Source organism: Homo sapiens, chromosome 2 (genome assembly GCF_000001405.40).
Source record: "Homo sapiens chromosome 2, GRCh38.p14 Primary Assembly".
Lineage (NCBI taxonomy): Eukaryota > Metazoa > Chordata > Mammalia > Primates > Hominidae > Homo > Homo sapiens.
This window is the reverse complement of record NC_000002.12, coordinates 109757891-109785695: the sequence shown is the minus strand read 5'-3', so window position 1 is coordinate 109785695 and position 27805 is coordinate 109757891. Positions and strand designations below refer to the sequence as shown.

At 41.7% G+C, this 27805-nt stretch overlaps 2 protein-coding genes and 1 long non-coding RNA gene across 5 annotated transcripts in view; 1 reads left to right on the top strand and 2 right to left on the bottom strand.

The window, feature by feature from the left end:
- Positions 1-25078, bottom strand: part of RGPD5 (RANBP2 like and GRIP domain containing 5) — a 97088-nt gene extending 72010 nt beyond the window's left edge. For all 3 annotated transcript variants that reach the window (XM_006712794.5, XM_047445980.1, XM_017005081.3), the window contains exon 1: positions 24925-25078. In XM_006712794.5, the coding sequence (XP_006712857.2) occupies positions 24925-25074 (150 nt within the window). In that variant the 5' untranslated portion in view covers positions 25075-25078. The remainder of the gene's footprint in view (positions 1-24924) is intronic.
- Positions 1-27805, bottom strand: part of RANBP2 (RAN binding protein 2) — a 1122820-nt gene that overhangs the window by 56606 nt on the left and 1038409 nt on the right. The gene's annotated exons all lie outside the window — the stretch shown is intronic.
- Positions 21465-26897, top strand: LOC100506563 (uncharacterized). Its single transcript, XR_001739113.2, has 2 exons — positions 21465-21649; positions 26140-26897. It is a non-coding gene; the product is annotated as an uncharacterized LOC100506563 (long non-coding RNA).

The window sequence follows — 27805 nt, the reverse complement described above, 5'->3', positions numbered from 1 at the left end:
TTCCTTCTGGTTGAGTTTTACTTTCTTGGTATACTTTGAATAACAGTCCTTTTTTAGTAGATGTTTTCCAAATATTTTCTCCCAGTATGTGCCTTGCCTTTTCATTCTCCTAATGGGGTCTTTTATGGAGTAGACATTTTCAGTTTTAATAAGGTCTACATTATCATGTTTTCCTTTCCTGGATTGGCTTTTGGTGCTGTGTATAAAACCTCATCACCAAATGCAAGGTCAGGTAGATTTTCTTCTATGTTCTATCCTAGAATTTTTACAGTTTTCTACTTTAAATTATAAGTCTATGAATAATTTTGTATGTATTTTTGTGTACGTTGTAAAGTTTGTTTGTACATTCGTTTTATCCCACAAGGTAATCTGGCTGTTTCATCACCATTTATGGAAAAGACTCTTTTCTCCACTGAGCAGCTTTGCTCTTTGACAGAATCAGTTGGCTATATTTATGTTGGTCTATTTAGGGGCTCTCTGTATTGTTCCATTTGTCTGTGTGACCATTTCTTCCCCAATGTTACACTCTCTTCAGAGATTTATAAGTCTTGGAATCTGGATGTGTGAATTCTTCATCTTTGTTCCTCCTCAGTCTTATATTGTCTATTTTAGGTTTAGAAACATTTTATTGGTGTCTTTGCTGGGATTTTGATTGGAATTGCACTGGGTCTATAGATCAAGTTTGGAGGAATTATTTATTTAGCTTTTGTCTAATTTTTTTTCCAACTGTGTTTCAAAGTTTTCTGAATGCACATTTGTACATATTTTGTTAGGTTTATACAAGGACTCAATTTTGGGGGTGCTATTGTAAATGATTTTTCTTTCATTTCAAATCAGATTTCAATTGTTGTTTACTGACATGTAGGAAATCAATTAACTTGTATTATTGCCCTGTTACTTTGATTCTTATATGCATCCATTCCGATCAAGATACGGAATAGCCGGCTCCATTTCAGTTTGAATTTCCAAAATTACCGCGTGGCATAATCTGTACACTGAATTTCAGTGACGCATAGGCGCAGCCGTGAAGGACAGTCTGTGTATTAGCAAAAAAAAAAAAAATATATATATATATATTAAGGCAAGACTCCAGAAAAAGAAAAAACACAGGCATGAACCAAGCACTAACCAGTGTGCCTCAATGTTTTACTTGAGGGAAATGATCTGTATGTTGCCCCCACCCCCGGCCAGGATGCTGCCAAAGGACCTGGATAGTGAACTCTGCACTTCTCTAAAAAAGATGGCTCTCAAGAAGGTGGAAACCTAGGATGACAGCCAGGAAAAGGTTGGAACCAGAGGTGGGGTCTTTATTGGGCTGGGAGCAGACTAAGTTGTACCCAGTAGCTGGCAATCAGGATCAAGGAAGAGGCTACAAAGTCAGATCACAGTAGAGATCTGGGATACACACAGAGGTCAAGGAAAAGCAAGGTTCGGAAACCAGCAATGCAGCCTGAACCACAGGCAGAAAGCCACAGCAACACTAAGATCTGATGCTTCTAAGTTTTCTGCTGGGGGCTGGAGCCATCCACAAGGTAAGCCAAGCCCACAGTCCACAAGTGGAATCAGGTCACTGTCCTCAGGAAGTAGGACGACAAGGGTTAGGAATTACTCACTGGGTACAATGTCTGTCACTCAGGTGACGGAAACCCTAAAATCCCTGACTTCACCACTATGCAATCTAAGCAAGTTACAAAATTACACTTGTACTCCATACATTTATACAAATATTTTAAAAAAGAAAAAGTCTTGATACAGAGGCCCATTTTCTCTAACCAGGAAGGAGTTTCCAAACTACAAGTCAATTCTTTCTAAAAGCACCTCTCTCTCCTTCACTCAGATCTGGAGACAGAAGAGGATGCCTCTGGGCAGCCAACCCAAGCAGAGCTGGGCAAGCGAGAAAATCGCCACCATGTCAGTGACCACCTGCTCACCCAGGCACTTCCTCCAACAGAAGACCTTCTGTTGAGCCTCCACCCTGCATCTGGCCTTCCTGAACGTCCCCTGACCTGCACCCCCTCATCATCTGGCTTAGGAACCATTTGGCCTCTGACCCACCCATGTTCTATATTCACAGACAAAAGAATAGGGAGACTGTGGATTAGGATCACAGGGCCTCTATAATTAACTCTGATTCACCTGTCACACTTTCTGACACACAGAACCATTGGGGGAAAACTCTTCTGATTTATTGAGGGTTGAGTATAAGGTACTGTCATAGGTTAGCTGTGAAAATTCACTTAATTCTCACACAACCCCATGCGTTAGACAGGATAGTGTCCCCATCCTCACTTTATAGACATGAAAATAAAAAAATCAGATTCAAGTGAGTGGCATGGTCAGAAGTAAACTCACATTTGGCCTCTGGTTGATCAACAGTTCTCAGTAGGCAGCCTCTGTAGAGGAATTATGTCTCTTAGGGATAAAACTGAGATGTAATCTCACAGAAAGCTCTTGTGTGTTTTTTAAATTCCTTTAAAGAAAAATTTGTATTGATAGTTCTTCCCTTGATTTAGGGATTTTTTTTAATATCTGGTTTCTTGAAAAGCTTTTTAAGAGGATCTGCCAAATTACATAAGCATTTCTAGTTTTTCTTAATTTTAATTCTCATTATGAGATTTTCTCATCAAAAATAATTCAGATAGTTCTAAAAACGTCCTATAAGTAAACAATGTCAGGAAAAAGTGAGATATGTTGAAATACGAACAAACGAATGAATGAATGGACAAACTTCAGAACAAACTATCTAACTGCAGCAAGAACTGGGACTGGAAACACCTAACCAATGACAGCCCCATAGTGGTTTCTGGATGCTAAATATAGACAAGGTCCAAATTCCCAAAGTCTAACTCTGGCTTTATCACACATACTTGGCAAAAGAATGTTATCCTGATAAAGCCCTCCTGTCTGGCCATGCTTAAGTAAATGTCCCAACATGGACTGTCTTCCACCTAGCTGCCAGGGGAAAATGGATCACTTCTGTACTCTTGGTGTCTAGCCAGACTATATTAAAAAGTCCTTCATCCTGCCTCAGCAACAAAAAGTGCACTGCCAACAGTTACGTTAAAGCTGTTGTGTGATAAATTTGAATATTGCATAATGGAGGGGAAAAAATCAAGGACTTACACTACAGCTATAAAAGGGATATGTGAAGCTATTTAGTCATGATTTTGTCATGGAGTAGTGACCTAGACAACTCAAATTCCAATTAATACTTGAAAAGCCCTTGGGACATAGTGTGATATGCATTCTTATAAAATGGCTCTTGGCTGGGCTTGGTGGCTCATGCCTGTATTCCTAGAACTTTGGGAGGCCAAGGCAGGCAGATCACCTGTGGTTGGGAGTTCAAGACCAGCCTGACCAACATGGAAAAACCCCATCTCTACTAAAAATACAAAATTAGCTGGGCATGGTGATGCATCCCTGTAATTCCAGCTACTCAGGAGGCTAAGGCAGGAGAATCACTTGAACCCGGGAGGCGGAGGTTGTGGTGAGCCAAGATCGTGCCAGATTGTGCCACTGCACTCCAGCCTGGGCAACAAGAGCAAAACTCCGTCTCAAAAAAAGGATAAAATAAAATAAAATGAAATAAAACGGCTCTTAAAATAATGCATTTGAATTCCTAAGTATTTACATACAACATTGCCCCCTTAATTTTATTTTAAGCTAAGAACAATGGTATTTTTCATTTAGCAGTTGTGCCTTGCTACGAGAAAGTCTATGTCAATCAGCCGGTTTGCAGTTCAGGCAAATCTAAGCTACCTGACTCCACTGTGCCATGAGGAAATGACAGACAAGAGAACGCCCTACAGGCACTGAGGTTTTCCTGGAGTACCTTCCAAACCATGGCCTGCATTGTGCTTATGACCTGGCCAGGTCACCGCAAGCCCCTGCTGGTCCAGGCAGTCAAGAAGGGACTCCACAGTGTCTTCACAATCACCGCACTTCTGCTTGGCACAACGGCTTTGCCAAGCTACCCTCTTCGTGCCCACCGTTTCCTCTGCTGCTAGAAACACTCACAAAGGAATAGAGTTCTTACAGTTCTCTGAGCTCCACCTCAGCGTCTGCTCATAATGGAAAACGGCTGCTGCCAGAGCCACTTCCACCCTCACGGAAGCGGGGTCACGGCTGCCTTTGGGAGTCTGAAGAAAGCTGTAGGCTCTCTTCTCAGGAAAGACAAAAATGAAAGAAAGGAACAGAAATGCAGAGACGATGAGAGGGATTCCCTGACCTCCAGGTTAAGGATCCTCAGCTTTACAAGGCTAAGGGAGGAAGAATGGAGGGGGTGGTGGAAGGAGAGGCAGAGAGGGAGAGAAGGGAGTACGGAGTGAGCCAGCTCCAGGGACCAGCCACTGAACAAAGTGCTGCCCTTGTCTCAGCCTGGAATCAGACGGTATGGGTTCTGGCTCAGGCTCGAGATTCCCAGTGAAAGCCACAAAGTTCTATGACTTCATCAAAAACGCTCCCTTGCCCACAGTGCCATTAGCTATTCCACGTGACCACACCAATCTTTCTGACCAAATATTCTCTCTCATTGATTAAACTATTCTACTACAAATTGTTGATGCCTTTGGGCATATACAGGATGGAAATAGCTTAGAAAAAAAAGTATTCTATTTAACAAAACTTTACAGTAATCGGTACAGTCCCTCATTTAGTCAATAAACACTCAGCGACCACATGCTATGTGTCAGGTCATATGCCAGGTACAATTAATAACAACTTAAAAAGTAATCATAGCTAAACACATTGTGCACTTAACTGTACTAAACACTTTACGCATATTAGCTCATTTAATCCTCACATTAATCCTTTGAGGTAGGTATTATTCTTTCTTTTCCACTATTCACAATAGACAAAATAGAGCTATCCACAGCTAGCTGGTGGCAGAGCAGGGGATCAGAACTCAGACTATCTGGTTCACAGTCTGTGTTCTTAATCATTACGGTTCCTGCCTTCAACCAACCCACACAACGAGGAAAAATGTAACAGTACCAAAAAGCACTGCTTGTGTTTGACAGTTCGACAGTGAAATGAACACAACCAGACTTGATCATTACACGTCGTATGCATGTAACAAAATATTATATTATACGTACCCTATAAAAATGTGCACGTATTATGCATCGTTTAAAAATAAGTTAAATCATAGAGTTAAATTTCTTAGAAAAAGAAAATGAACACAACCATAAAATATGCATAGGTATAAAATAGTTTTTCCATAAAAGGGGAATTCTGTTTGATGTCTTATTATACACATTGGAGAAATAAAATTTATTATGAAGGATTTATATAGATTGTCCAATTTCGTGTATCTTTATAATATCAAAAGTTCCATAAAGAGAATTCACTTTGAGAATAAAATTATTTTCAAAAAGAATAGCTTATAGATGTTAAGTGTTTTCATTGGTTGTCCATAGTACACCTCTTTATCCAAATATATTAGCATATTGCATATAAATTACTTTATTACCAAGAAATTCGGAAACTGAGTATATGAAATTATCAGTTTCTGTCTCAACTATTTTGAGATGGCAGTGAACAGACTAACTATGATTTGATGATAAACTAAAGAAAAATATCACGCTTTGTCGAATATAATCAATTTGGAATTGAAGAATTAATTGTGATGCAATTACATACTTTCTTAAAACTAAAAAAAAAAAAGTCAAATTGACTATCAAAATGTCTTTAGCAGAAATATACTCACAGCTCTTTTTCAAAGCAAATGTACAAAATCTCCTACAGCCCCTTGCTGTCCAAGAGAGTCACGTGACGTAAAACATCTTCCTCATCACCTCGGCCACACCAGTTCCCAATTCCATATGCTCACCTAACTGCACCCCTGTCCCCAAAGGCTCCAGTCTCCCTCAATCTTACCTCCCCCCTTTATGCAACATCATTTCCTCCCTGAGGCTCTTTCTTGGTCTTTCACTGAGCTCCCAAAATCCTAGATTCCAAAACCACTCTCAGCCTGTTACCATTCCCAAATCCAATAAGCAAACTATAGGACTTATGAACTCCAAAATAAATACCTGGGTCCCTACCCCAGGCACTCTGGATCCCCAGCTGATTCTGGGAAGCAGCTAAATTTGATAAGCCCTGGACTACACCATAGAAATAAGCATTTAGTTATAGGCATCACTTTCTCTGCTGTACATTGAGGGAGGTGGGCTGGAAAGATGATCTCTAAGGTTCCTTCCAGACAGATCTAACAGTCTAAGAGCCCAGACTCTATAGCTATTTCACAGATACTGGTTTCTCTCCACACAGACTCCATGCTTCTTCAGAGCAGGGGCCACATTACTTTTTCACTGTCCCCAAGCCAGCATGGTGTGTTATGCATAGAAGGAGCTCAATAAACTTGTGACTCGTGGGTTTCTATGACTGTGCCCGCTGACTGAGGGTAACTAGTAAGCTGAGCCTGGCACTGCTGTGGCAGGGCTACTTGGCAGATCTTGTGCAGACACTGAGTTACATCTTGCTCCAAAGGAACCTCCCACAAAGGCATCAAGATGTCAACACTGGATTTACTGTGGTCAGAAAACTGTAGAAATCAAACTCTTTCAAATTCTAGTATACCAAAATACAACAAGTTCTGACTTTCTGTTTATATGTTAAGGAAACCACAGAAAGCCCTCAGAGATAATGTATCTGGTTTGTAAGAATTATGATGCATACTGCCATAGTGTCATAACAATTCCCATATCTGGCAGGGCGCCATGGCTCATGCCTGTAATCCCAGCACTTTGGGAGGCCGAGGTGGGCAGATCACAAGGTCAGGAGACTGAGACCATCCTGGCCAACAAGGTGAAACCCAGTCTCTACTAAATATACAAAAATTAGCTGGGTGTGGTGGCACAAGCCTGTAATCCCAGCTACTTGGGAGGCTGAGGCAGGAGAATCACTTGAACCTGGGAGGCAGAGGTTGCAGTGAGCCAAGATCACACCACTAAACTCCAGCCTGGCGACAGAGTGAGACTCCATCTCAAAAAAGAGAGAGAGAGAAAAGAAAAAAAGAATTCCCATATCTAAGAGAACCTAATGGTGAGAAGAACGTATCATGGATCTTTTTGCTGGAATGACAGTGGGGTGATCCAGGTAACAATTCAAGTCCAGGAAGTATATTAAATGGGCTTGAAACTATTACCAAGGTTATTCTACTATTGAAAAAAGATGTTTCTAGCTGGTCTTCTGGAGTTGTCCAATGCCTGGCTACTAAACCTTCTTAACAAGAAAATCACCTTTGTTGAGATAATAGAAAAGCTAAGATTTATACGGAGAAACAACATTCCACACATTTATAAAGGACTTAATAGCTTGAATCATTTCTATCTGTTATGCCATTTAAACCTCTTACAACAGCCCTTAGAGTTAGGCAAGACACACATTATCTGCATTTTACAAATGAAAAAATGAAGCTTTGGAGAAGGTAAAAACCTACCCCACAGTGGAGCTGAAGCTCAACCCTAGGGCCTTACACTTCATCAGTGACCCCCTGAATGAGGGATTCTATAGAGGCAGATGTATGATGTCTGGCCAAGAAAGTACAGGTGTGGGTGTGTGTTGTTTACTGTATTTTGCTTGTTTTGCTTTTCATCTGAATGTATTGAAGCAAGGTAGTAGAGCTTCAAATGGACCACAAGCCCCATCACATCCAACTGTGATACTGTTTCAGACATTTATTTGGTCTACTTGGCCCTGAAGGTATTTGAATTTTTGACCCCTGTGCTAAATAATTATACTTACATACTTATATAAATAATTATATCTTCCCATCATGTAACATCTTATGAGCATATTCACTGCATATTTTATTTCTTCCTTATAATCCTGTTTACTCATTAGAGGACTAAGCTAAAAAAATTGAATGACTTGCACAAGATCAGGACCTAAAATCTAAATGTGTCATATAAGAAATTACATTATGTGAGAATTTCTTAAGCAGGTGTCAAGTTAAAATTCTTCAGAAAATCATTACATAAAAGTTTCTGAACTTGAGTACTCAAGTACTCAAATCTCTTTTGAGATTTGATTATTCTTACTTACAGGACTATCATTCAGAGAATATGCAGAAACAATGCTTTCATGTTTCCATGGGCATGTCCTGAGAAAGTCATATTCCTTTATTTTTATCTCAAGTGTTCATGAACTTTCATTATCAAAGAAGAAAATAGGCAACTGTTTCTGAAAAAGGAAGTCATTCAACAAAATACTAGCAAAACAAATCCAGTGATATATAAAAGGATTATATACCATAACCAAGTGACATAGTCCAGGAATGCAAGGTTGGTTCAACATATAAAAATCAGTCAATGTATTAAAGTATATAAAAGTATATTAATAGATTAAAGTCTATTAAAGTATATTAAAGTATTAATAGATTAAAACCCATATGACCATCTCAATACATGTAGAAAAGCCTTTGACAAAAATCACACATCCTTTTGTGCTTAAAAACACTCAACAAACTAGGAACAGAAGGAAACTTCCTTAACCTGATAAAGGGCATCTATGAAAAACCAACAGATAATATCATACTCAACAGTGAATGACAAAGCTTTCCTTTCAAGATGAGAAACAAACCAAAGATGTCTACTCACTCCACTACTATTTAACATTCTCCTGGAGGTCCTAGCCAGGCCAATCGGGCAAGAAAAAAAAATTAAAAGCAACCAGATTGGAAAGGAAAAAGCAAAACTATCTCTATTCACAGATGACATAATCATGTGTATATATATAAAATCCTAAGAAATACACACACAACTATTAGAACTCATGAATACACTCAGCGAGGTCACAGGATACAAAATCAACATACAAAAAAGAAAGTAAAAATATCAGTGATCCCTGTTACCATCACTAAATAATCACTAGCACCTAAAAAGCTTCCTCTTTTAGTTTTATTACTCTCAACCTGGGATATAGAAATCTAAAATCCAGAGTTTACTTTAGCTTTTAAAACTATCTATGATATCAGGTTAAAAGAAACATTTCCTGGCAGATGCACAGCTCTGGAAAATTTTGTTTTCCAAACGTCTGGAAAACAAAAGGAAAGCTTCCTTTGTTTACATAGCCAAGAAGGTTGAGTGATGAGAATCAGAAAAGATTTTGAAGCAATACAAGATCTTCTCCTAGGGCCATTAGAGATCAGCTAATCTGTTCAAGTTTTAATTCTCTTCTAATGGGTTTCCTCAAAGTACTTTACAGCAGTTGCAATCAGTTCCAAATATTGCATCGTGATACTCACATAAACTGGAAAGTAACGGCTACATTTCCATTTATTTCATTTATATTTTTACTTTGGCCAGTCTCGTAGAGATTTTAAAAACCATTAAGTACTTCACAATATTGGTGGGGACTGTTTCCTTCTTCATTTTCATTAGAATAAACACAGAAGTGGTATCTACCCTAATAATACAGAACATGCTTCTTAGGTAATATAAACCAAACACAAATAGAAAGAAGCATTGTTTTTATACAGTTCAAAAAAGTGTTACACTTATTTTTCTGCAGGCCTGAATACAGACCCTGCCTGCTCTAAAAGTCACGAGGTATAAAGTGTGAACCTATGCTCTGGGGGCTCCTGATAAGTTCCAAGAAACTCCTTTCACAGCCTCTATCTCAGGGCCACATCAAATACATGTTCACTCACTGGCCTCAACAGTCGATTATCACTCCCTATTTATTTGTAGGTTCACATATTTTTGCCATTTAAATTTTTTCAAAAATTAAAACCTGGCTCAAGTTACAAGTAAAGCTTGGGTTAAGGAAAGCATTCATGAAACACTTTGTTTTCTGTAAATCAGATAGTTTATTGCCTGGTTCCCTTCCAATATATATGTGGGCTTTACTCTCCATTCAGAATTTGATTCTAATTTTTAAGTGGCAAGCAAAGTCGAATTATTAATTAAAGAATCAAGACATATAAGTATACCTTACTCTCTACATGGTGAAGGCAAACACTTTCAAAGACAATTTCCCTAATATTTTAAACCTATCACATGAAAACTTTAGCCCTTTGGATGGAAACATTTCACTGACTTTCTTCATCAGTCCCCCTTTTTTGCCATAAAAATTCACGAGATAATAAATTCCAGTAAAAAGAAAACCACACAGTAAGGCACAGATCTTTGATAGTATAAAAGAACATTATCTAATTTAATCCCCATAACAAATCAGTGACAGTATTATCTCATTTATATATAAGGAACCTGAAGCTCAGAGATGCTGAGTTACTAAAGATGGCACAGCTAGTAAATGGCATGTCAGAATCTGAACCCATTGCTGGATGGCTCTGAACCCTTTGCCCTTCCCAACATTAATTCGTGCCTTTCTGGAATTTTGCCAGCCAAGTGGATTTTTTTTAACCTAACTTAAAATATTCAAAAATAACTAACGTTATTTAACGTCTTATTCTCTAAGATTTTTTAAAAAAACATTTAAAGTTATTTTTGTCATCTGTTTTAATATGTCCCAATCCCTTAAGCTAAGAATCTATCATTTTTACTTTACCCAACTATCTTGTGATATAAATTAAGCCTGTTTACTCTTTCCAGGTCACTGAAGCAATGCTTCTTTCTAGAATTAGAGTCATACAACTAGAAGAGATGGTCTGACTTTGTACAGACCATTTGTACACCATGTGTAGTTCCATTTCTAAGAAGAAACAGCAAAATGATCTACATGAAAAAAAAAATCACCTTACAATTTCAGATGACTTTCACGAAGTGGTTTTATAAATTGTATTGCTGTACCATCATTATTGTTATTAATGAAGTTACATTTAGGTGTTATGGTAGATTTGACCAGATGTGGCAAACAGTTGTTACCATAGTCTTCATCCATAAAATTTGTCAAATTAGAGGTTTTATGGAGTATACAACTAATTGCAAGAAAATATATAGGCAGTGTATTTTTAACATTTTAAATACTAACAAAAAGAGCAGGACTTAATGACAGTGAACTACAGACAATCCATGCACAGTGAAGCCTGTTTAATTAGAATTCCACTAGTCTAAAACCTGTAATAGCTTGAACACAATATACTATTCATTCTGAGTTTGAAAGTTCAGAATAAATCTCAAGATGTTTTTCCATATATACCTCACTGTACCTGCTGGAGACCATTTACATACATATATATATTATATATATTTTATATATAATATATATAATATATATTATATATATATATATGTTTGTTTTTGAGAAGGAGTCTCGCGGTGACACCCAGGCTGGAATGCAATGGCGCAATCTAGGCTCACTGCAACCTCTGCCTCCCAGGTTCAAGTGATTCTCCTGCCTCAGCATCCCGATGAGCTGGGATTACAGGTGTCCACCACCACGCCTAGCTAATTTTTGTATTTTTAAATTTTGTATTTTTAGTAGGCAGGGTTTCACCACATTGGCCAGGCTGGTCTGGAACTCCTGACCTCAGGTGATCCACCCACCTCGGCCTCCCAAAGTGCTGGGATTACAGGCGTGAGCCACCACGCCCAGCCTATATCACATATATTTTAAGGTCACATGGGACCTCAGTACTCATGCCCTCTGATTCTGTCATTAAGAGATACATATTACAGGATAGTGGTGATGTGTAGGGGCTCTGGAGCCAGGCTACCTGCATTAAATTCCCAGCTCTGCCTTACTAACTATGGGACCTTGGGCAAGTTACCTTGTGCCTTTGTTTCCTTCTCTATAAAATGGGGAATAGTAGAATCCACCCTACAGGTAATGAAGATTAAAAGAGATAATACATACCTGTGAAAGGCTCAGGACACTTCTTATGTGTAAGAAACACAATACCCTGAGGCCAGCTGGCCTAGATGCCTTTCCAAGGAAAATCTGCCATCAAATGTTAGGACAACATCGTGGGACTCCTGTCTTTTCTATTTGAAAATAGTTTTTAAAAATCCATTTAAAACAGCCCACAATTAGACAAGCTCACTAATTTTTCCTGGCTATGTACCTTCACCAAATTACTTCTCAATCAAAATTACTTTAAATTACAGATAGTATGACATAGATGTATGCCAAAGGGGCTTATGCGGACTTTTAAGTCATATATTCAAAAATAACTAGGAAGAACCTACTAGTTTCCCTTTACAATCTGATGTTTCATATTACCCTCTTCTTTGTAGTTCCATTCTGTGAAACTTCCATTTCTCATAGGTATTTTGTTAAATATCACCCCTACCCACAAGGTTTATCCCAAAGTATCTACACAGATTCCACCCTCGCGTTCTTCCTCTGATTCTGGGCCTGGCCTGCCCACATCTCCTCTGAGGCCTTCCTCCATCAGTTTGCCCATCTTTCCCCTCAAGAGTGGGAACACGCATAGCCGCCCTCCCACCTCCCATCCATTCTTTCACCCTCACTGCCAACTCCAAAAAGCAGCTGGTCACAGACCCCACTGGCTCATGGCCTCGCCCTGGCTGATCTTTCCTTTTCAACCCTCTTCACCGGCTGCTTTCCCTCCCACTACACCGTGGTGCCTGCAGCCTACTTCTCATTCTCTCCTCCTCCGTCCTAGACAATCTTGTCCAATCTCAAGGCTTTCACCAGCACCTGTATGCTGATAACGCCCACTTATTTCCATCCTGACCTTTTCCCTAAATGTCAGGATCTTTAGTAAACTTCCTAGAGACAATTTTATCTCCATGGTCCAAGGGCATTTACATGCAATACATTTAAATCCAAAGGGTTCCTCTTTCCCCACTCAGCTTGCTCTTCCTCCTACTTTCCCTATCTCATCACACAAGCTAGATAGCCTCAAAGCACCCTCATCCCCTTCTACCCAGAAAATGAGTGAATACTGTCTGTGTCATGCCCCCAACAGCTCTCTACTCCCTCTCCTCCTCTCCATCCTCACCAGCCCAGGCTAGTCAGCCCTCACTCCTCACTGACCTCCTGACCTTCAGACATGGCCTCTCACAGCCACCAGACTCATCCATCTATAGTGCCTTCTAGAAATAATAAAAAAATGCAAACGTGACCATTTTGCTGCCCTGCTTAAAGCCCTCATGCAGGCCATCACCTACTGGAAAATGTTTGAGCTCCTTAGAAAGCCATGCAAGGCCCTCTGAGAGCTGCTCCCAGCTCCACTGCCCAACCTCCCATCCTGCCATTCCCAACATGAATGCCAGGGACCTGAAACTGACCTGCACTGGTCACTGCTACTGTTCACAACTTGCTAATTTTCACCTCTTTGCCTTTCCTTACATTATCGTACCTGCCATATCCCTACCCCGCTCCCAGCCTGGCTAACTCTTATCCTTCCTTTAAGACTGCAATCAGATGTCACTTTCTCTAGGAAATCATCCCTAAAATACCATGCTGAGTAGGGTACCCCCGTACATACTCCACAGGATTTGGGGCAGGTAAAAAGTCTACTTAGACTAACGAAATAATCTGTTCTTATTATCAGGCTAAAATATAAACATATCAAGGGCTAGAAATGTGGTCTCTTCACTTCTGTGTCTGGCTCAATAAAAGGATGCTCATCTCAACCCAGACACCTAGAAATCCAGAGGAAGAAAGTTACAAAGAGCAGCTTCAAGCCCTCTATACTGTAGATGGATTGCGTTACATTATTATATATTTTAGGGCTCTAAAACATTACTTTTTTTTTCTTTCTGAGACAAGGTCTCTCTCTGCCATCCAGACTGGAGTGCAGTGGTGCAATCATGGCTCATTGCAGCCTTGACCTTCCAGGCTCAAGCAATCCTCCCACATCAGCCTCCCAAGTAGCTGGAACCACAGGCATGCACCACGATGGCCAGCTAATATTTCTGTAGAGATGGGGTCTCCCTATGTTGCCCAGGCTGGTCTCAAACTCCTAGGCTCAAGTCATCCTCCTTCCTCGGCCTCCCAAAATGCTGGGATTACAGGTGTGATCAGCCTGTACCACCATGCCTTGTCTAAAATATTACTTTTGTCCTGCTGAGGAATAAAAGTAAGGAAAAGAAATCAATTTATGTAACTAATTATTTACCTAACTATTAGAAACCAACATACCCTACTTCCTTTCAGACTCCAAAGAATTTTCTCAGGTGTTCCGTTCATATTCAAAGATTAAACTCTACTTATTGAAAAAAATTAAAGGAAGTCACTTACAAGGATTGGTTCTCAAAAGCAGCTATGCCATGTTCTGGGGAAGGAACTACCTTCAATGAAAGGAACACAAATAAGAGAGTCCTGGTGTTACCCGCTGAGCTGTCCTCTCCTGCACGTAGACATGCTTCTGCGAAAAATTTAGCAGGCTCCAAGTCAAACTCTGTCCTGGGCTCTACAGTATGCCGCCGCACGTGATGATCACTGGTGCTCAGGCAGAACGGACTTTATCCACATCACTGTAACCTGAGTCCAGACTTCATCCTAGACAGTCACACAGCTAGGGCCACAGGTGGCACACCATGGTAAAAACGTGAGACCATCTGATTATCCATCAAAACAGAGGGCCTACTGCACATAGACATAGATGTGAGTTGGAGTAGTGTGGTCTTCCCATTTCTGATGTTGCCATCTATTTCCTCGAGATGACAGACAGCTCATATATTTTGCTCAAAGGGTTGCTAGAGCTGTATCCTCCTTTAAGGTGAATCTTCATTTCTACTCCCACAACAGAAGTGGTCCTCAACCTCTTTGGCACCAGGGACCAGTTTTGTAGACGACTTTTTTTCCATGGACCAGGGGTGGAGAGATGGTTTCAGGATGGTTCAAGTGCATTACATTTATTGTAGACTTTATTTCTATTATTACATTGTAATCTATAATAAAATAATTATACAACTCACCATAATGTAGAATCAGTGGGAGCCCTGAGTTTGTTTTCCTGCAACTAGAGAGTCCCATCTGGGGGTGATGGGAGACAGTTACAGATCATCAGGCATTAGATTCTCATAAGGAGAAACCTAGATCCCACACATGCTCGGTTCACAATAGGGTTCATGCTTCTGTGAGAATATAATGCCGGTGCTAATCTGACGGGAGGCGGAGATCAGGCAGTAATGTTAGCAATGGGGAGCAGCTGTAAATACAGATGAAGCTTCTCTTGCTCGCCCTCCACTCACCTCCCACTCTGCAGCCCAGGTCCTAACAGGCCCCGGACCAATATTGATCCACAGCCCGGGGGCTGGGGACCCCTGCACTCCTTAACAGAAGAGGGGCCTGGCAGGATGTTTCAGAAAGTGGAAGGAAGTAAACATTTGAATCTTCGGCACACTGAGAAGGCCTGGCAAGGAAAGTCTACCTGCTTCTTCCCAGGATGCTCTGAGCTTCTATTTTAGTAAACTACAGAGTCTATGGCCAGTGAAGATACCTACTTCACAGCCTGAGATAAAGTCCTCGGCCTCCAACTGTAGTTTCTACCTCAGCAGTTCTGAGAAAGGACACCAGAAGCCTCCCTGCCATGGAATATGATTGGTGGGACAAGAAGCAAGTGGGCCATGTGGGCAACCTATCTTCTCAACCAAGGCAGGGTCCCAGGGCAAAAGCCCAGACAATGCATCTAAAGGTCAGAACCTACCTGACCATCATCAGTAGCTTTTTCTATTCTTAAGGAACTCCTGAATGTCGCTTCTTGGGACCCAACAGAGTAAACCTCTGAGTCTGACAGTCTTTTTTTTGGTGTGTGGTGGGGGGCGGGTTGTCTGAATCACCTGTTATTTGTACTATTTATTGATAGTAAACTGTATTTTCTTAAATGTAAAAGAAACTGTATTAATTTGATGACACTAGTACTGAAGCAATAATCAAATACTTGCTTATCTTACTATGGGCCTGACCTACCTTCAGGCTTGAGGGCAACTGTTTTCCTCTCTCCTCCCCCACAATCTGAAGGAAGAGTTAGAACAGTGGAAAGTAATGTTGCATATTACAAGAAATGGTTAAACACAATTAGTCAGATCATATAATGGACTATGACGTATTAAGGCAGTATCACGGCTACCAGGAGTATAGATACCAACTATGGCCCCAAATAATGCTAAACACTGTTGCAAGAACTTCATCCACCAGTTCACGTGTCTCAAGACTGCAAGATTTAAATTTGCCCTACTATTCGTGAAAATTCACCTTTCTTTTCCAAATCTGGAATACCCCCCATTGTTTAAATCCAGTCTGGGTTTCTCTTGTCAGTAGCAGTCTTCAACGCCTACTTCAGAGAATGAAAATGTGTGTATGTGCACTCATGTGCTTATGTGCACGCACACACCCTCCTTAGAAAGATAAAGTCAATAAACTTCCTGTCAGTATCACAGAACATGCAAAGTCAATTGTGCAATATTTCCTTGCATTATCCATCCTATATGCAAACATTCTAATGAAATAGAACTGGAAATTACACATGGAAACCGCAGCTAGGTTTGGCCACCTAATGGACTCAGGGTACTCCGGTAATGGCGCGGAGAGAAGAAGGTTGGCCGAGCGGGGATGCAAGGTCCCCAACTGAAGTATCTGAAACCTACTATGGGTTCCACGTAGAGTCTTCAGTTGTGATTTCTCGTAGGACACTAGGAAAGTTGCAATTTGCAGCTATGGCCACGGGGTAGTGCAATAATTCTGCAAATAGCTGACCCCACCCCCAACACTCCTATCCCCCCAACCCCAGCCCTCCCAAAGACAGAATGGCTAGGAGAGAATGGGGACATTTGGTCTGAATCCTGGGCATCCACAGGGGTTACTGAGAGATTCTCCACAAATCCAAAAGTGTCTGTAAGACTATCCAGTTACTCTCAGCATTCGAGCCCGATACAACAGAAGGTCCCGGGCTTTGAAGGAATGATGAGAACTGAGAGGCTATAAAAAGTGATTAGCCTATTTATTACAAATTGTGTTTACTTAGGTTTTTATGTTTACTTCCCACCATATCTCCACCAGAATACAATTAACCACCCCCTCACTCATCAGAATTGTATTAGAAAGACTCACAAAAATAAAATAAATACTGCATCTAAACGCAACCGTCAAGCTTTATGGAACTGGACTGTTATTACACAAAGGTGTCCCCAAAACAGGGAGAAGGAAATGCAAATTTTGAAAGGGCTTCTTTTCAAAGGAAATTTTTGTCCATTTAGTCCTTACAAGTCAAAGTTTGGTCTGTGGACCAAAACTAATACTTGGGAGCCAGTTAGAAATGTGGACTCCTGGTTCTATTAGATTAGAATGTGTATTTTAACAAGGCCTCTAGATTATTTGGATGCACATGGAAGTTTGAGAAGCATTCCCCGAGTGAGAGCTAAGCATACTGACCTATGCTCTCAAAACTATTTTCTACACCCTGGGTCTTTTCTTCTTCTACAAGCATTCTACGTGAAAACAAATATATTTTGAAATTTTAAAACAAAAACAGATTATTTCCCAGAACTGGTGGTGATCCACTACAGTAAAGCCTCTTCCTATCTAAATTGCCAGGTAACTAATTAACATGTCAATGAACACTGGCTGAAATTCTGTTCTGTCACTTCATAACGCAGGTAAACAGTACAGATATGAGAAGAAAAATTTAAGACCAACAGACTCACATCATGGTCCTCTAGGGGATTTTCGAAACTAATTTCCTGCCCATATAAAAGGAAAAATAAAATTATTTCCAGTATCAAGTTAAGCACATAACTCTCTAAATGGAGTTGCTATGTTAAAGTGGTCTCCAAATTACAGTCATTTTTGTTTACCTCCGCTAACAATGAGCCTCCTGGGAAGAAATTATGTGAAGAAGTTTAAGTACCCTCTATGCCTTTCTCCACAGGTGAGTGGGGAAATTGCAGAGGAAAAATACACAAGTGAATACAATTAATGACTTCTGCACTCTTTGATTCCTGCTACCCTGTGAGGGGAATGATCATAGAATTTTGAAGCTGGAAGGAATCTCGGAGATAGCCTATTGCTGCCGCTCTGCCTACCCAGGAATGTCTTTCTACAAAGTCAGGTAATTGTTACCCTTTGAGACAGCCCACATCACATCACTGTTAAATGCTCTCACACCCACTGATCTTACTCGTGCCCTTGAGCAACCCAGAACAACTCTATTCCCACTTCCCAGCTAAATGCCTTCAAACACTTAAGGCCCCTGTCATATCCCGGGTGGTAGTTTCCTTAGATTGAACCCATTTAGTTCCTTGGATTGGGTGGTGTCCTCTTACTCTGATATAAACACTGTGTATTTTGTTTCCAGTGAAACTAAATTATGATTAGCCTGACATAATTTAATGAGACCCACAGTGCCAAATGAAGTCATTCGATGTAATGGTTGGTAATGCAATACATTCTCAGTGAAACATAAAAGATTATGTAATGGTTAATAGATCTACATATGTGAGTAGTACCACCGTAAGTAAGAGCATATTTGTCTGCTGGACTATGATGCACGACTAAGAAAAGCTACCAACCTCTCTACTCAAAACCGTCCCAGGGTCCTGTTGCCAGGGACAGAACGCTGCACCGCATGGACTGCTGAATCTGACCTTATGCGGCCTTTCTGTATTCTTCCTTGTTTATGAAAAAGAGACATTTTTAAGAAAGCAAAGGGTATAGAAGAGCTACATTTGGCATTCAGAGCAATTGACACTTTTATTACTTAACGTCACAACCTTATGAGGTAGGCCAGTCTAAGTGCTGTCATTTTATAAGTGATTAAACCAAGACTGAGAATAGGAAATGAGAAAAATCATGAGCTGCCCAGGGCCAAACAGAAAGCAAGGTTGGGGCCAGCTGAATTCAGAAACCTCAATTAAATTCCAAGACAAAAGGGAACAGCCAACATTGAAAATAAGTTTTATGGATTTCACTTTGAAATAAAACAACAACAAAAAAATTATGTTACCATTAAATGATATTAAAATCGTCTTTTACGGGGCCTCGATTTTGCCACCAAGGCTTTATTCCCAAAAATTAAAATAAAAAAAAATCAAACAGGCAAATCTATTCCAGGTTAAAAATTCCACTTACACACAAAATCTTGCATTCCATATTGAGAGGTTTTTTTTCTTAATTTGCCTATTAATCTGTATTAAGCCAAAGGTCTTTGTTCAAGTTGCTCAAGTGTCATTGATTAGACCCATTGTGGTTAACAAGGACATTCTCCCAAAATAGATTCTTAGCATTTTAAAACCCTCCTACATTTTCACAAAAGAGAATCTGGAACACAGGAAGGAATCATTTCCCCACACACAATACTCATCTTCAACGTCATCAAGATACATTTGGTTAAAAACCTATCCACACATTAAGGTGCACACTCCCTGGGTTCCTCCTCCCTGGTATCCTCTGGGGCCCCAGCCCAGCTGGAGTCCCCAAGTTCTCGGCGCCCTGAACTAACCAGTCTCTCCACCCAGCTTTCTCCAAAACACGCCCCACACAAGGGCTGAGCTCCTCCACAGCGGATGCAACACTCCACTGCTTCCCATCGAGGCCCCCTGCCTCCTCCAGGCTGATGAGCAGCCCCTTCCCCACTGCTGCCCACAGCCCTAGCCCTGGAAGCCACTCTTCTGAGAAGGCTTTGCCTCCTCGTACCTGCCGAGGCCCCTCCAGGCCCATGCTGAGGGCCAATGAGAGCCACGCAGTCAACTACACGGTGACCTTCGGCCAGTGTGAGTACACGCAGCTCTGCAGAGCTGCTGTCTACCAATCAGCTCCAGGACACCTGGGGCTCAGACAGGTGCACTCTCCTTCTGCCCTTTCTTTGTACTCTGTTTTGACCCATAAGGACTGACCAAAAGGATAGGAATAGGCCTTAAAATGTTTGCTTTACTGCAGCTGGAGGAAAGGGTAGAGGCACCTGAAGGTCAAGATCAGGGATCTGTAGCATTTTCTGGCACCATGAAGTAAAGTCTAAAAAGGCCTGGAGGAAGCCGCCCACTGGCCTGCGCATGTCCCCTGGCAGTTGATTTGAAGACAAGCAAAAGCATCAGCGGGCACTACTGGGCAGCATCCTTAGGGAGACTAAACTGCTAGTGCCTCTGCATCCCTCCCTGCCTGTGTTAGCCTACCTTCACCAAACAAGATCCACACTTTATTCCCTCCATGTTTCTATTCACAGTCTTCCCACCACGTGGTTTTCCTCCTTTCCATTTCCTCCTGAAATTCTACTCCAGGACCCATTTCAAATGCCACCCCACCATGAATATCTTACTTTCAACAGGATGTGCCCATGCCCCCTCAAGCGGGCAGTGTCAGCCTTGGATTGCAGGTATTTATGGGTATGGCTTATTCTCCTATTAAGTTCCCAAAAAACACACTGTCCTTTGCATCCTGTACAGCAGGGTTTCCTAAACTGCAGGTTTCAGCCTATGAATGGGAAATTTTAAAAAAAAGAAAGAGAAAGAAAGAGGACAGGAAATATCCAAGTGTATCACACATAGTAATAAGCGTTATTTCATGATGCTCTTGTTTCACTTACGTGTATGCATGTTCAAGGGGTGGTGGGTGGCAGTGTTAAACGTGTATTTGTTACTGGGGGTCATGGTCTGAAGCATTTGAAAGTCACTGCCCTGATGGTACCTCTCCTCTGTCTAATATTCTGTGAATGCTTATTGAATTGAACAGGTTGATGAGTATGAAATGATCCATGTATTATAACTTCAAAGGCTCCAACTTAAAGGAATATAAAGAATAATGCCTATCTGAACAAAAGTGTGTGGATTCTGGCTTATATGAAGCTGTGGAGGAATGGGGTGAGTGGTAGGGAAGATCAGAATATTTATTATACTATTGTATGTTGATAGACTTTCTCTCCAATGATTAAAATGTGTTAACATTTAAGGAAGATGAAATACAAGTTCATTTTGGAAAACTTTTCTCATTCACTGAAACTACCTCATGACTACAAAGTTCTGCATCTTTAAAAGAGACAGTATAGGTAATTCCACCATGATGCATAAAATGATCTTTTAGAGACACCATGAAAGCCCTTGTTCAAGTTTTCTTTGCCCAAGATGTCTCCCTGTACTCTCAATACCCCCACCCACACCATCTGTCTTCCAAGACTTAGTTCAAAGGCCACCTATTTCATGGAAGCCTTTGTTTTTTAATTCAATTTTTCCTCTTTCCATCCTCCACCCAAGTCCCAAATATGGTCTCTTTTCTGAATCACCAGTGTTGAAAACTTCCTTTTTCATGTGTGTTCTTGTCTTAATTTCCTCATTTGACAATAACACTAATATGTACAACCTACGCCTTACTCATCCTTGCATCTCCCACAGAAACCAGCACAAGGTCTTCTACTTAAGAGATGATCAATAAATATTTGTTAAACGAATTAAATGAAAGCAACAGTTAGCCTGTTAAAAGGGATGGTCATTATTTTAAAGGCCCTGAGGAATGGCTTATATGTCTAGCACCTAATCAAAAGCTGGTGGACCACAGAAGGAAGACCAGGGAGTGGAGGGGGCAGCCTTGCGCCTCTGCATATCTGCTGCCCCTGTAAACTCACGGAATGCCCAACTCTTCAAGACTCTACAGAACAAAGCTACAGTGTCGGGTGCTGAATGAACACCTTCACCTTTTTCTAAGTTCTCCAGTCTTGCTTCAAACCAGAAACTGGAAGTGGAATTAGAGGTGGAAATTAGGGCCATCCTTTTCAACTTTAAGGTATGGCTGAAAAAGTTGAAACAGCCATCTGGATAATTCAGGCTCAAAAAACCCATCCTGAAGAGTAAGTATGGATGTTTCTGAGTGGCAGGAAGAGCGTGCAAGAAGGCAAAGGAGGTAGTTGTGAATTATCAATTGATTGTGTATATTGATTATATTCAACAGAACTGAGCTTTTCCCTTTATATTTTCTATACAGTCATTTGAGGACACTCTCTGTGACTGCAAGAATAAACTAGCTCAGATTCAAAGCCACAGTCACCACTAATAAATTCCAATTTGTTCAATTGGAAAATGATGTCCATCAATTAGAAAAAGTTCTTAGGGATTAAAATAAGATTCTCTTTTGCCATTAATCTGTACCTCCTCCTTCCTCCTTCAAAAAAGTTTTTCTATGATCAATCAAAGGAAGAAGCTTTCAATGGTCTTTAAAATGTATATTGCTCTAATACAATAATTCATAATTAACAGGTATACTTTCCTAACTATGGTAGTTTATTTTCAAATTTTTAATTTTAATACCATTTAGGGCTCTCTCTCTTTGTTATTTTAGTAGGACCTTAACTTCCAGTCCATCGAGGTTTTGTTTTGTAATTAATTTCGGAGCTGTCCTTATAAGCTGAGAGATATGTGAAGTACTCTAGAAAATGGCAATTGTCTGACTGGATTTGAAGTCAGATCACTGGGCTTTGAAGCTAATTTCTGGTTGAAATATGGCTGCCCCATTTTTAGATGTGTGACTCTGGGCAGGTTACCCTATCTTCCCATCTTCAATTTTCCTATCTGTAAAATGGAACTAATAACAGTACTTGCTTTATAATTAAATGAGCTAAAACATGTAATGTACTCAGAACAGTGTCTGATAAATAATACGTGTTCAGCAAATGTTAGTTTTAAAAAGTCTGCTGTCATCTGTTTTATGACCTCAGTAAAGTCATTTAACAGTTCAAAGCTTCTATTTCCTCATCTATAAAATGGAACTACTACCACTTACTTACCCTTTCCAGGATTAAGAGACTCAAATAAGAAAACAATGGATATGAAAATACTGGACACACAGAAAGTTCTCAAATATTAGTTATTTTGAACCATCTATAAGCTTAAAAGTAACCATAAACTTAAAAATTTACGTAAACCATAAAACTGAGAACATAGCATCCAAAAATTCATCTGTGAGAAAATGTCTAAACATATTAGAAATGCATACTCAAGCTTGGTTTTTCTTTAACTTATCAGAAACATATAAGCTTTTGTAAAATGTAATTCTACATCTGCAAAACTAGAAACCCTCCCGGTCAAGCCAAACTGTCCTAGTATATTGTGATCAAGAAAGTCTACATGCCTTCATAAGCCAAAACTCGATGCACTCATTAAAATGTGATTGCACGTACATCAACTTTTTAAAAAACGTGTAAGTTTTTGTTTTTTTAAAAGTAATAAATGTACTGCTAATGTAAATTTCAAGTCAATTCAACAGATATTTATTCTGTGACACTGCTCCAGGGTAATTCAGCTGGGAACTAAGGATGCAAAAGGAAACAGAGCTCAGGTTCTGTGCAGGAAGACCCCACAAATTACGCTGATAATCTCAAAATATTACTTATGAAAGTCATAAGGGGGTTCGCTTTGAGTCAGCAAGCAGACAAGCAGCATAAAAATATACCGAAACAGTAAGTTCTTCCTTTTGACTGAAAAACTGCCTTTTAAAAGCAAACAGCATTTTAAAAGTACAGTTGCTATCTGGAAAGCTATTGAATTTGCGCCAGAAACCAACATCTCTAAATGTAAACCTATAAAATAATAGGTATCTGTAAATGAAAGGCTGAAATAACCCCAGGAGCAGCAACACAGTAATTAGCAACTTTTACACAGTCATAACATGTTTCATATTCTTTCTGCCCTGGCTCTTTGAAGTTTCCAGTGCAATACGTAAAAGTTTTATTACATTAGGGCCCGTCCTTGTGTGTTTTACAGGCACCAACATTATGCAGAGCAAGCTGTACTTACTCATCATAGGATCTTTTATAAGAAACCGTTCGATAATGTGCTAGCTTTGTGTCCAGTTTATTTTGTTACACCTGTCTTTAGGAAAATAAAAGTCACTGGAAACCTAAATCACAGAAAATACACACAGATCCACATATCATCTATATGAGTTATAAATCATAAAGCAGTTTAGCTTTAAAATTGTACATTGCATATTCATGTGCACACCACATGCAGTTTTAGACACATGTGAACTCTTTACTGAATTAAAGCAAAAGGAAAAAAAAAACAAGCTCAGCTCTACAATAAGCGATTACCAGAGGCAGAACAGAGTGCAGTTAATATGCTTGTTCCAGCAGATGTTCATCCCCGTAAATATTAAACATAACACAAGTTCCTCCAGGAATATGCAGGCAGTAATTTTACCACCTGAATAGTGCTGGTTGGAAACATTTAAGAGATAGTGGCGGGTTGGGGGGAGCAGAGAAAGAAGGGGGAATAAGACAGATACTAAAGCAGCCAATGGGATTTTTAAGACACCCGCAACTGGAATTAAACTGCTTCCAGCGGCGATTTACCTACAGCAGCTCCCCAGTGTGAGATCCCCGAGAAACGGAACCTGGAGTGCCCCCCGGGCTGCGAGCTGTGAGCGTGGCACAAAGGGATACCTGGGGCGCCCGGGTGGGGTGGGGAGGAGGAGTGCAACTGTGACGAGGTGTGAAGAAAGGGCCCAGAGGAACTGTGAACCCCGAGGAAAGGAGTCTCCCTGGGCTAAGGCCTCTGGAATACCGGCACGGAGAAACACTCGTTTCCCGCCCTGGATGTTCACTTTTCCATCTCGGTGGAAGTGGGTGGGAGAGACAGAAAGGATGCAGCCGAGACCGGGCGCAGGCGGGGAGGCTGGAGCATCCTCTAAGGGCACTTCGCAGCAGCACCAACTCCAGGGGGTCGGTGGTGCCAGCCGGAGGAGGGAGGGGGCGCAGTCGGAGGGAAAGGAAGTGAGAGGAGCAGGGGGCCGACGGGTGGATCCCCAGGCATTAGTGACGCAGTCTTCAAATCGCTTCTTTTCCTCCCCACGGCTGCGCTCTGCCCCTGGCTACCTAGATCACCAGTCCCTGGGCTGGGGCGGGCCGCCGCGAGGGAGGCGAACAGGAGAGGGGGAAACAGACAGGCAGGCGGCCACGCATCCCACCCGGGGAGGCAGAAAAGGGCTGGCGAGGCAGGCGCCCCCGACCCACCCCACCCCCACGGCGGCCGGCCGCCCGGAGCACCCGGCCCAGGTGAGGACGCGCGGGCCGCCGCGGCCGCCCCTCGCCGCTCCCGCCCGCCCGAAGCGGCCGGCACGGGGACTTACCACAGTGACTCGAGGTCCCATTCCTGGAGCAGGGCTAAGTCGAAGCTGTCCATGGTGGGAGGTGTCAGCGTCGCCGCCGCCGCTACCGCCGCCGCCGCCGAAGCTCGGGCCGCCCGCGCGCTGCGACGAAAGGCGCCGCTCAAGGTGCATCCCAGCCGCGCCAGAGCGGCCGCCGCCCGCCCCCAGGTCGGGGCTCCCGACGCCCCCCGCCCCCGACTCCGGGCCGGCCGGGCTGGCTGCAGCGGCCGGCGCACTCACCCGCTCCCCGGCTTGCGCGCAGGCACACTCAAGAGAGAGCAGCGAGCTCGCCGCGCCGCCGCCGCCGCCGCCCCCGGCCCTGCGCCGCCGCCGCCGCCGCCGCCGCCGCCGCCCCCGCCCCGCCTGGCCCCCGGCCCCGCCCCCGGCCCTGCGCCGCCGCCGCCGCCGCTCTTAGGGTTCCGTCTGCTCATCAGACAACAGATATTTATTGAATGTAAGTAGTTGCTGAGGTTTTATGCTTCACTGACATTCTACCCCCTGGGAATGAGTGTTCCTGGGAATGTGCATTTCTTTCCTTTTTTTTTTTTTTTTTTAACAAAACCAGGTTTTTCCCTAAGGAATGCACCTTCCCCAAAGTTTCCCGCATCCTCCTGCCTACATAATTCACTTATATAGTCACTATGACATTAATTAGATTCAGAAGTCTGTGGAAACAGCAGAGCTCGGCAGGGTCAGAGGGCAAGCAGGGCAGAGAAAAGAGAGGGGAAAATGAGCCCCGGGAGAGGGGAAGGAAGTGGAGGGAAGTTTTTCATGCCCTTCAAGTACCAAACAAAACAAAGATAATTTCAAAAGTGGTCAGCCACTATAACACTGCTTAGAGAATTAAAGTATTGACAAATTGAAGAGTGCTTTAAAATAAAGTGGATGGGGCATAAGCATGTATGTCTTGGTGTTAGTTGCTCCTTATACAGCCGGTACTAAAGGCTGGTGGGTGAAGCTTACCACATTTTAAAAAGAAAAAGGCAGGCACACATACTAAAGTTGAAAATGCAGGCAGGAAGGACATTTACTTTTCATAAAAGCGGATCAGAAAAGCATCTCCTATCACAGATCATGTATTTTATGCCATGCTGACCAATGTTGGGGGATAATCTCATTATTTTGTGATATGAGAAGATCCTTTGATGCTGGTAACAAGAACCAATCATCCTGACTTAAATCTTAATATCCCCACAGGTTCTTTGTCATGCGTCTTCAAGATGTGCCCTGGCCATTCATGCAAGTTTCAAGGACTCTGAATCTGTTGAGAAAAAGAGGTTACGTTCCAATTCTGCTTTAGTTCCAACCCAAATGCTGAGAAACACTCCATGGAATTTAATTACAGGGCGATAACTGTGATCTTACCAAGATTTATGAACAGGAAGATCCTTGGTGATTGTAGTCAGTCAAAGGGTGGCTTTGACATAGCACCTATCTGTTAGGGCAAATACTGCCAGGGAAAAGGTGACATTTGGAATCATCTGGGATTGGACTCTTGATCAATAGATGCGAAATGTCAGGTGGACATGAGAACTGTTGGTCTTTGGTACATATGTGTTGCAATGAGTAAGGATGAGTAATGTGAAGGAAAAGTAGAATCTTGGGACCCCAAACTCACTATGCCAAAGGGAAAGTTAAGCGTGGGAGACTGAGTCAGGCAAAAACTGCCTTCCTTTTGTTCCCAAATAGATGGCTGTAATTTCACATGCTTGCGTTATGTGAAATGTGGATTCATTGAGTGCTAATCAGAGCCCCACAAGAATGAAAGCACTTGCCTTGCTGCCTACCCTCCCTCCTCTTTTTTCTTCCCCTCCTGCTTGCTCTTTTCCCTTTAAATAATGAAGTTCCCAAAACCCTCTTTGGAAAAAGCATAGGTCACAAATCCTATTATAACTTGCATTTCTTTTTCCTGGGTACATTCTCAACCTGGGCAAAATAAACCTCTAATCAACGAAGATCTGTCTCAGGCACTTTTTGGTTTAGAGTAAAAATAAGGAGACGTGGGAGCATAGAGTAGAACCTGGGCTTGGGGTAGGGTAGTGACTGTGTGTTCAGACTGAAAAGACAAGGCTCTGATAACAAGGAAAAGCCTCTTCTCGCTGGTCAGACAGGAGACATATTCCAGTAAAACCTGACTCTGGTGTCCACCTCTCTCAAGACAAACACATGTAGAAATTTGAGATAGAGATAGGCAGAGCTTGGTTTAAATTCTAGCTCTGTCATTTTGTAGCATGAGACTTGGTCACATTCATAAAGCTTTTAGAACTTACTTCATGTCACTTGTTATATGGACAGCTGATCCACAAATAGCACACTTATTGTGAGGATTTTTTTTTTTTTTTTTTTGAGATGGAATCCTGCTCTGTCACCCAGGCTGGAGTGCAGTGGCATGATTTCGGCTCACTGCAACCTCCACCTCCTGGGTTCAAGCCATCCTCCTGCCTCAGTCTTCCCAGTAGCTGGGATTACAGGCATGCACCACCACGCCCAGCTAGTTTTTGTATTTTTAGTAGAGACAGGGTTTCACCGTGTTGGCCAGGCTGGTCTCAAACTCCTGACCTCATGATCTATCTTTGGCCTCCAAAAGTGAGTCACCTCACCCAGAGGAGTAAACAAGGTGGATTACATAAGCAATCTCAAGTAACTGATTCACAGAGCCTCAATTAATGCTATGGGGATTTTTTTCTCTTTTGGGGACTTCACTCAAGGAGTTGTCTTCCCACCCTGTTCATGACTCATTATCACTATCTGTCCATGCAATACATCCAATTATTAACGTTGTTCTGGAAAGTAGTCTACTGTTGGCAAATGCTTCAAAAACATAAATTATGAAATGCTGAGATGTTCCTGCCAATGATAATTA